Below are 11,436 nucleotides of genomic sequence, written 5' to 3'. Positions count from 1 at the left end.
AAACTTAAAGCAGTAGTGTTTAAGCTTTTGTGAATTTATATGTCCCTCTGAGAACCTGTTACTTCCATAGACTTTCTCACTGGAATAATGCATGGCACATTCATATGATTTTGTGAACAGCTACAAAATGAATATGTGTAAAATTGGTAGTACTATATACACATAAGTACTAATAATTTGAAAGCATAATAGAAAAAATATTCACAATAGCTGTAGAAATATGAAATATGGGAATGAGTTTAATAACAAATATGCAAGACAACAAAAATTATTTAGAAATTTTTATAATGAGAAAAGGCTGATTTCATACATGAGGAATTATGTACCTTTATGGGATGAGTGAATACAATTGTCAGTTAAAACCATATTTGTAAGCTAAATTTAAGATGATTCTAATTTTAGTATGAAAGAAAAAAAGGGTGATGAGTGGGCAAAATATTTCCAAAATATGATAATTCTGAGTTAGCATGGCAGGGGAGCTGCAAAACAATTGATACATCAGTAAAGCACAAGAGAAAACACTAATTTTTTCAGTACATGAAATAATTTAGCATATGAAATTCTAAATGAGGAGTGGTTGGATAATTCAGTAAATTTTCAGAGAAGTAGCTAATTGTTATAGCAAATACATTTCCCAGATGGTTAAAGATTAAATATAAAATTGAAATTATAAGAGAAGTAAATATATACACACAAATACTTAAACACTCTTGGGATTGTGGGAGCTTTCTGAAATATTCACAAAAAATAATTGATAGCTATCTCTACCAAAAAACACTAAAATTTATGTTTCTAAATACCTTAAAAACTGAAAAATCAAATGACAGTTTGAAAAAAGCACTTTTCTGTCGTATATATGATAGAAAAGAGATGTAATGAAATAAACCCCAAAAGGAAAGAGTTAAAGATCTCACACTGAAGAAATGCAAAGTGACCAATAAAATGTGAAAAAATATTTGGCCTAATTTGTTTTCAGAAAATCGTGGTTTAGATGTGGGGTTTGAGTATATTAATACTGTTATGAATCCCATATTTATTGGTACAATATTTCTGGAGGCAGTTTGGCTATATGCAACATGGGACTTAGAAATATTTACGTTGGTTAACCTAGCATGTTCATTTCTGGAAATGTATTTTAAGGAAGCAGTCTTGGATATACATACAGACTTACCAATGATGATTTATTTAGATTAACTTTTACTGCTAATAATTATATGTATTTATGAGGTACATGTGATATTTTGATGCATACAATATGTAATCAAATCAGGATATTGAGGATATTCACTTCAAACACTTATTACTTCGTCTTAGGAACATTTTGAATTTTCTAGCTATTTTGAAATATAGTTAGGTGTTACTTAATGACATGGATGTTTTCTGAGAAATGTATCATTGATAAATAGATTTGGATGTGCAAACATGATGGGATGTACTTACACAAACCTAGACGAAATAGCCTATTGTACACCTAAGCTAAGCTATATGATATTATTGTTCCTAGACTACAAACCTGTACAGCATGTTACTGTACTGAATGCTGTAGGCAATTGTAACACAGTGATATTTGTGTATCTAAATATTAAAAAGGTACACCTAAAGTACAGTATAAAACATAAAAAATGGTACGCCTATATAGGACACTAACCATGAATGGAACTGGCAGGCCTGGAAGTTGCTTGTGTGTGGGTCAGTGAATGAGTGGTGAGTGAATGTGAAGGTCTAGGACATTACTGTACACTACTGTAAACTTTATAAACACTGTACACTTAGGCTACACTAAATTTACTTTATAATTTCTTCAATAATAAATTGATCTTATCTTACTGTAAACTAAACTTAGTTTATAAACTTAAAAGTTTTTAATTTTTTAACTTTTAACTCATTTTAATTTTTTGACTCTCGTAATAGCATTTAGCTTAAAACACAAACACATGGTATAACTGTACAAATATATCCTTATTCTGTAAACTATTTCCTATTTTTAGCTTTATAAAAAAAACCTTTAAAACTTTTTTGTTAAAAACTAAGTCACAAACATATACATTAGCCTAGGCCGACACAAACTTGGGATCATCAAGACGTCACTCGATAATAGGTATTTTTCAGGTCCAGAATAATCTTATGGGACCACCATCATGTATGTGGTCCATCATTCATAGAAAAGTTATTATGTGGTGCATGACTATATACAATAAGTTATTGCTAACTATAGTCACCCTATTGTGCTATCAAACACTAGAACTTACGCCTTCTATCTGTGTGTAGCCACTGACCAACCTCTCTTCATTGCCTCACCACTTCCCAACCTCTGGTGACTATTACTCTACTCTACCTCTATGAGGTTGGCCTTTTGAGCCCCCATATATGAATGAGAATTTGCAATATTTGTCTTTCATACCTGGGTTACTTCACTTAACATAAACACCTCCAGTTCTATTCACATTGCTGCAAATGTCAGAATGTCACTCTTTTTATGGCTGAATAGTATTCCATTTATGTATATGTATCACATTTTCTTTATTCATCCATTCATGGACACTTGTTGATTCCATATCTTCACCTTTGTGAGTAGTACTGCAATAAACATAGGGTGCAGATATCCCTTTGATATACTAATTGATTTTCCTTTGGATAAATGCCCACTAGTGGGATTGCTGGATCATATGGTAGTTCTGATTTTAGTTTTCTAAGAAACCTCCATTCTATTGTCCATAATGACTGTACTAATTAATATTCCCACCAACAGTGTATAAGAGTACCCTTTGGTCTGCATCCTCACCAGCATTTGTTACTTTTATTTATAATAGCAATTCTGAGGTGAGATGATACCACATCATGGTTTTGATTTGCATTTCCCTGATAATGAATGATGTTGAGCATCGTTTCATATACCTACTGCACATTTGCACATCTTCCTTTGAGACATGTCTACTCAGATACTTTGTCTACTTTTTAATAAGATTATTGTTTTGTGGTTTTTCTTTTGCTCTTATATGAGTTCCTTGTATATTCTGGATGCTAATCCTTTGTTGGATAAATAGTTTGCAAATATTTTCTTCCATTCTACAGGTTGTCCCTTTGCTCTGTTGGTTGAATTTTTTGCTGTGCAGAAGCTTTGAGTTTAATGTGGTTCCGTTTGCTTGTTTTTGGTTTTGTTGCCTGTGTTTTTGAAGTCTTAGCCATAAAATATTTGCCTAGACTAAAGCCCTGAAGCATTTCCACTGTGATTTATTTTAGTAGTTCTATAGTTTTGGGTCTTATGTTTAAGACTTTAATCTATTTTGAGTAGATTTTTGTATATGGCAAGAGATAGGAGTCTAGTTTCATTCCTCTGCATAAGAATATCCAGTTTTCCCAGCATCATTTCTTGAAGAGGTTGTTCTTTCCCAATGTATGTTCTTGTCATCTTTGTTGAAAATCAGTTGGCTGTAAATATATGGGTTCATTTGGGGATTCTCTGTTCTGTTGCATTGGCCTATGTGTCTGTTTTTATACCAGTACCATGCTGCTTTGGTTACTACAGCTTTATAGTATATTTTCAAGTCAAGTAGTGTGATGCTCTCCAGCTTTGTTATTTTGCTTAGTATTGCCTTGGCTATTTGAGTTTTTTTTTTTTTTTTTTTGTGGTTCTATATGAATTTTAGGATTTTTTTTCTATTTCTTTGAAGAATATAATTGGTTTAGGGTTTGCATTGAATTTGTAGTTTGCTTTGGGTAGTATGGTCATTCTAACGATATTAATTTTTCCAATTTATGAGCAAGTGAGTCTATATTTGTTTGCCCTCTTCAGTTGTTTTTCATCAGTGTTTCATAGTTTTCCTTGTAGAGGTCTTTCAAGTCCTTGGCTAAATTTATTCCTAGGTATTTTATGTTTATATTTTATGTTGTAGCTATTGTAAATGGAATTTTTTCTTGATTTATTTTTCAGCTAGTTCATTGTTGATGTGTGGAAATGCAACTAACATTCGTATGTTAATTTTCGTATCTTGCAACTTTGCTAAATTCGTTTATCAGTTCTACAAGTTTTTTGGTGGAGTCTTAGGCCTTTCTAGATACAAGATCATGATGTCTGCAGAGAGGTGCAATTTGACTTCCTCTTTTACAATTTGCATGACTTGTCTTTCTTTTGTCTAGCTACTCTACCTAGTACTTAACAATACTAGGTTGAGTAGGAGTAGTGAACACTCACCTTTTTGTTCGGGTGATCAGACCCAACACCAGGTCATGGGGACTACAAAGTCCAGCAGAGTCAAAGGAATGAGACAAGACAAGTTAAGAGTACATAGGGTGGGTCCAGGGGGCCAACACAAGTATGGAGGCTGTGAAGGCCCCCAGCTCTGGGAACCCACACTGTTTATTGGTAATCAAAGAAGCAGGTGGTGAGGACATGCAGACGTGGGGGTAGACAGGTGAGGACGTGAGGACGTGGGGGTAGAAAGGTAGCGGTGCATCAAGCGTAGCTGTGACAGTTTAGCATATGCTCTGCTACTTGAGATAAGGGAGAACAGTTCTTCTAATTCAAGATACAATCAATTTATGATCTTGGGAGAGCAAGGAGCAAGGGGCCAGCGAGTCTGGACACATTCCAGAGGCTAGGAGGGGCCCTGAGCCCTGGGTTCTCTCCAAGCCACAAGGGGTTTTATGCCCTGGGCTTAGATTGTAGTGGAGCAGGGCAGCCTTCCACCCTTTGGCAGAGTTTGGTGTTCCAAAGGCCACAAGGGGTTTTAGACCCTGGACCCAGGACATGTTCCAAGACTCTTTTACATTATGTCAGACAAGTGAGCCTTGCCTCAGCCCTTCCACCAACACTTTTTCTGTGTCAGTTCTTAAAAGAAAGGCTTTCAGGTTTTCCCCATTCAGTATAAGGTTAGCTGTGGATTTGTCATATATGGCCTTTATTATGTTAAATTATGTTCTTTCTACACCTAATTGGTTGAGAGTTTTTATCATGAAGTGATGTAGAATTTTATCAAATGCGTTTTCTGCATCTGTTGAGATGATCATATGGTTTTTGTCCTTCATTCTCTTGATGTGATATATCACATTTATTGATTTGTGTATGCTGAGCCGCCATCTCTGCATCCCTGGGATAAATCCTATTTAACTATGATGTATTTTTGATGTGTTGTTGGATTTGGTTTCCTAGTGTTTTGTTGAGAATTTTTGTATCTATGATTATGTGGGATATTGACCTATAAGTTTGTTGCTGTGTCCTTGTCTGATTTTGGTATCAGGGTAATGCTAGCCTTGTAAAATGACTTAAGAAGAATTCTCTCCTTCAGTTTTTTGGAATAGCTTTAGAAGAATTAGTATTAGTTCTTATTTATGAATTTGGTAGAATTCAGCAGTAAAGCCATTTGCTCATAGGCTATTCTTTGTTGGGAGACTTTTTCTTATTGATTCAATCTTGTTACTCGTTGTTGGTCTGTTTAGGTTCTCTGTTTCAATCTTGGTAGGTTGTATGTGTCCAGAAATTTATCTATTTCCTCTAGGCTTTCTACTTCATTAGCATATAATTGTTCATAGTAGTCTCTAATGATCCTTTGTATTTCTTTAGTATCAGTTGTAATGTTTTCTTCTTAGTTTCTGATTGTATTTATCTGGATCTTCTCTTGTTCTTGGTTAGCCTAGCTAGTGGTTTATCAATTTTGTTAATCTTAAAAAACTTTTTGTTTCATTGATCCCTGTGATTTTTTCAGTCTTCATTTCATTTAGTTCTGCTCTGATCTTTATTATTTCTACTAATTTGAGATTTGGTTTGTTCTTGCATTTGCTATCCTTGAGGTGCACCACTAGTTTGTTTATTTAAAATCTTTCCAGTTATTTAGGCATTTAGTGCTATAAACTTGCCTCTTAATACTGTTTTTGCTGTGTCCCATAGGTTTTGGTCAGTTGTGTTTCTATTTTCATTTATTTCAAGAAATCTTTTTTCTTCTTAATTTCTTCACTGGCCCAATGGTAATCCAGGAGCATGTTTAATTTCCATGTATTTTTAGTTTCCAAAATTCCCCTTGTTATTGATTTCTAGTTTTATTGCATTGTGGTCTGAAAAGATACTTGATATTTTGACTTTTAAAAATGTGTTGAGATTTGTCTTGTGGCCTAACATGTGGTCTATCCTGGAGACCATACGTTCCAGATGCTGATGAGAAGAACATGTGTTCTGCAACTGTTGGACGAGATGTTCTGTAAATGTTGTGTTAGGTCCATTTGGTCTGTAGTGCAGATTAAGTCCAATGTTTGTTGATTTTCTGTCTGGATGATCTGTCCAGTGATGAAAGTGAGATGTTGAAGTCCCAAACTATTATTTTATTAAGATCTCTCTCTTTAGCTCTAATAATAATTGCTTTATACATCTGGGTGCTCCAGTGTTGGGTGCATATATATTTACAATTGTTAGGTCCTTTTGCTGAATTTATCCCTTCATCATTATATAATTATATAAACTATGTACATTCAAGGTTATTATTGATAGGCGAGGACTTACTCCTGCCATTTTGTTTGTTGTGTCCTGATTGTTTTGTATATTCTTTGTTCCTTTCTCTTTTATTCTTTACCTTTACAATTTTTTTTGTAGTGGTAACTTTGACTCCCTTCTCATTTGTCTATCCATTCTACAAGTGAGTTTTATACTTCTCTGTGTTTTCCTGATGGTAGACAGTGTCCTTTTGTTTTCAGATGTAGGATTCCCTTAAGCATTTCTTTAGGACTGATGAGTTCCCTCAGTTTTTGCTTGTCTGGGAAAGACTTTCTTTATTCTACATTTTTAAGGATAGCTTTGCTGGGTATGGTAGACTTGGCTGACAGTTTTGGATTTTCTTTTCCCTTTCAGCACTTTGAATTTCTTATCCCATTCTCTCCTGAATTTCTCCACAGAAAAATTCCCTGTTAGTCTGATGGTGATTCCCTTTTATGTTACTCGATGCTTTTCTTTTGCTGTTCTTAGAATTCTTTGTCTTTGACTTTTGACAATTTGACTATAACCTGCCTTGGGTTCAGTCTATTTGGGGATCTTTGTTCTTTTTGTACCTAGTTATCTATATCTCTTTCAAGACTTGGGAATTTTTCAGATATTATTTTATTAAATAGGTTTTCTGTGCCTCTTTCCATGTTTTCTCCTCTTAGAATTCCCAGAATTCAAATATTTGGTCACTTTATGGTGTCCCATACATTATGTAGACTTATCATTCTTTTTAATTTTATTTATTTATTTTTTTGGTGTGCTGGGTTATTTCAAAGGACCCGTCTTCAAGTTCAGAAATTATTTTGTCTGCTTGACTTGATCTGTTGTTGAAGCCCTTGATTGTATTTTCAATTTTAGTCATTGAATTCCAGGATTTCTGTTTGGTTCCTTTTTATGATATCTCTTTATTGAATTTCTCATTCAGGTAATTAACTGTTATTCTGATTCCTCTGTATTGTTCATCTTTTTTTTTTTTTTTTTTTTGAGATGGAGTCTCGCTCTGTCGCCCAGGCCAGAGTGCATAGCACAATCTCAGCTCACCGCAACCTCTGCCTCCCAGGTTCAAGCAATTCTCCTGCCTCAGCCTCCTGAATAGCTGGGATTATAGGCATGTGCCACTATGCCCAGCTAATTTTTGTATTTTTAGTAGAGACGGGGTTTCACCATGTTAGCCAGAATAGTCTTGATCTCCTGACCTCATGATCCACCCGCCTCAGCCTCCCAAAGTGTTGGGATTACAGGCATGAGCCACCGCGTCCAACCTCACTGAGTTTCTTTAATATCATTATTTTAATTTTTTTTAGGCATTTCAAAGATTTTTCATTGATAACTATTACTGAATAATTACTGTTTTCTTTTGGAGATGTCATGTTTCTTGCTTTTTTTATGTTTCTCATGCCCACGTCGATATCTGTGCATCTGGAGTAACAGTCACTTCTTCCAATTTTGTGGATTGCCTTTTGTAGGGAAAAAAACTTTTTCCTTTAAAGGCTATCTGTATTGTTGGTTGGGTATCGTGCGTTGGTGTTGATTCTAGATGGGCACAGTAGTATAGTTTCTATGGCTATAATCAGTGTCAGTAATGTCTATGATTTTCTCAGTGGCTTATGTTGCAGTTGTTAATGAAGGCTGTGGTGAGGCTTTGCAAGGGATGGAATGCCAGGTGGGCTGGTCCTTCAGCACCAGTGTTGGTGGCAGTGGGCTGGGTGTGCCAGTTCATGGGCCCTTGAGTGGACCAGTGTTTGGGCCTCCAGCTGGCTTGCTTGGGTGCTAGCAGTGGCAGCAGTGGACTAGGTGGGCAGGTCCTTGGGCCCTCACATGGTGTGCGTGGGGTCACTAGTGGCAATGATGGTAGACCAATCTTTGGACCCCAAGCAATGCATGTGGCACCAGCAGTGGCACCAGCAGACCAGGTAATCTAGTCTCCAGGGCCCTGGGTGGCACATGTGGGTGACTGCCAGTGGCTGTGGTAGTGGCAGGCTGGGTGGGCTAGTCCCTGGGCCCCTGGGAGGCATATGTGGACACTGGCAGAAGATGAAATGTGCATGTCTTACACCTCTGGATGGCACACATGTATGCCAGTAGTGGTGGGCAAGGTAGGCCTATCTCCAGGCCTCCAGACAGCTTGCATGGACAGCACTGACAGGCAGGGTGGGTCAATCTCCAGACCCTTAGATAACATGCTTGGGCACCAGTGGTGGTGGTGGTCAGCTGGGTAGACCTGTCCTCAGGCCCCTGGATGGCACACATCACCACCAGTTGCAGTAGGCACGGCAGTTTGATACACAGGCCTATAGATGGTGCACTCAGGCACTGTTGGCAACAGTTGGAGTTGGCCTGTCCTCAGGCCCCAAAACAGTATGTTGGTTGACCATTCCTCAGGGCCCTTGAAGGTACATGCAGATGTGTAGTGCCCCAGCCCTGAAGGAGATAGGGTTGCTGTCAGTGGCAGCAGCCCTAAGTAGGTGGCTTTCATGATCTAGGGAGTACATGGTTCCGCTCCTTTTATTCTGGGGTCACTCTCTCTAGTTTGTTGCACTGCCCACTTCCCAGGGTGTAAGACACTGTGAACAACAGTGCTGGGGACCTGGCTGCACTGCTGGATCCATCCAGCATAGTGACACTGAAGCCCTCTGGGTGGGCATGAGAGTATGTTAGCAGGGCTTTAGGGATGTGGAGATGCGGGGGCTGTGGAGTCCCAGGGCAGGATGTAGTCCAGCGGGGGCTGGGCTCTCAATATAGTACCATGCTGCAACTGCTTGGGTCTCAGAAGCTTGGTGGGACCCAGCACAAACTCCTGTGGAACAATGCCATTGTGTGGACTCCAGGCAGCTCCCTATACAAGTCTCAGGGCCTGTGAGGGCCAAGGGGCTCTCTTGTGGCTGGTTAGGATTCCAGGAGTCCATGGTGGGAATACCGACTGTTGGCATTCTCTCCCTTACTTTCCCCTACTCCTCCTGCAATGGGGACTTCCTCCTGGCTCTGAGCTGATCCAGCTTGGCCAGCTGCTTTCCTTCCCTCTTCTTTCATGCCTCAGAGGTTCCCTGTCACTTCCCTGCTGAATTCCAGTGTTCCCTCTTAGAAGCTGTTATTTTATATGTTGTTATCTACTCACTGTTTTAATCCTTCTGTGTAAAGAGGCAAGTGCTGGGTGCCTCTAGTCAGGGATCTTGAAGCCCCCTCTTAATGAGGATTTTTTTTTTTTTTTTTTTTTTTTTTGAGATGGAGTCTCAGTCTGTCTCATAGGCTGGAGTGCAATGGTGCAATCACAGCTCACTGCAGTCTTGACCTCCCTGGGCTCAGGTGACCCTCCCACCTCAGTCTCCCAGGGAGGCTGGGCCTATAGCTGGGACTATAGGCATGTGCCACCATGCTCAGTTAATTTTTTTATTTTTGGTAGAGATAGGCTTTTTCCATTTTGCCCAGACTGGTCTCAAACTCCTGGACTCAAGCAATCCGCCCTCCTCAGCCTACTAAAGTGCTAGGATTATAGACATGAGCCATTGCCCCTGGCCACAACAAGGATTATTAATTTAACTTTGCTACATGGATGAAAAGCTAGAAACAACCAATTTGTGTTTCACAGTGGGAAATTGGTTAAATAAGCTGGAATATTATAGAATCTTTAAAAATAATAATATAGAATATTTAGTAAAAATTAATATAAAGCAAAAAAAGGTTAAAACTAAGTACAGTGTGTGTGTATATATATAAATAATTTATATAATCACTCGAATTATATGCAACAAAATGTGGGATTTTATTGGTTATCATTTTATTTTCCAATCTTAGTGCACATGTATTGTTTTATATGCAAAGAAACTTTTTTTAAAAAAAAAATGGAACTTGATAACTAAGCAAATTTGATGGTCTTGGAATATAAGAATACTGTAGTGAATTATTATGCAATGGATTTTTAAAGTATTAATATTAGTTAAATGTAAGATTGTCATGCACCTATAATCATATGGCTTTTTTGTTGTTGCTGTTTCAACCTGAGAAAATTCATTTACTGAATTCCCCATACAGCAAATACCATCCTACTCACTGAAACACATTTCAGTCACTTTCACTCCTACTTCCCAACACTTTTACCATGTGCTAACTGCAACTGGAATATCCTCCTTTGTTTTTCTTACTCCTACCTCTTTCAAGCTTCTCATGGCCGGCCTAGCACATACATAGTTTTAGTTTATTATTATTTGCCTTCATCAGCTCCATTCAACACTCATCTCTTCTTTTTTTGAATTTCTGTAGTGTATATTCTCATGGTGTTTAGTACGTATTGGTACTGTGATGTTCAGTAACAAGTTCTTTGAGGGTAGGATCCATACGTTAGAGTTTTAGAACTTCACAGAAGCTAGGTAAAAGTAGAGATTTAGTAGATGCTCAGTGAATTTTCATTGACCCAGGAAGAGTGTTGTAATATTAACTGCATAAGGGAGGATGCTTTAGTAACATTGACTGAAAGTGAGTTCTGTAATAACAAGAGCATAAGGAAGGCATGCACTTTATTTGGTTTGCAAGATGAGTCTTAGAACTGTTTGGTTCAACCCACAAATATATAACCACATCTACCTTTCACTATATATTTATATATTTAAATATATATACTTATATATATATTTATATATTTAAATATATATACTTATATATATATTTAAAATGAATTAAATCAAAATTTACAGTGATTACTCAAATCAAAGTTGATGCTATCCAGCAATCTTTTATTTCTTTAAATAGACAACTAAGGTACAGAAATGGTATGGTCCGAATGTTTGCATCCATACAAAATTCATATGTTGAAACCTAATCCCCAATGTGATGGTATTAAGAGCTGTATCCTTTGAGAGATAATCAGTTAATGAAGGCTACACCCTCATGAATAAAATTATTCCTTTTATAAAAGAAGCCTGGGGGAGCTTGTTTGCCATTTGGGCCATGCAAGGACACATAGAAGGCATCATCTA

This window comes from Homo sapiens, chromosome 6 (assembly GCF_000001405.40).
Source record: "Homo sapiens chromosome 6, GRCh38.p14 Primary Assembly".
NCBI lineage: Eukaryota > Metazoa > Chordata > Mammalia > Primates > Hominidae > Homo > Homo sapiens.
Note: the sequence above shows the minus strand (reverse complement) of the source record.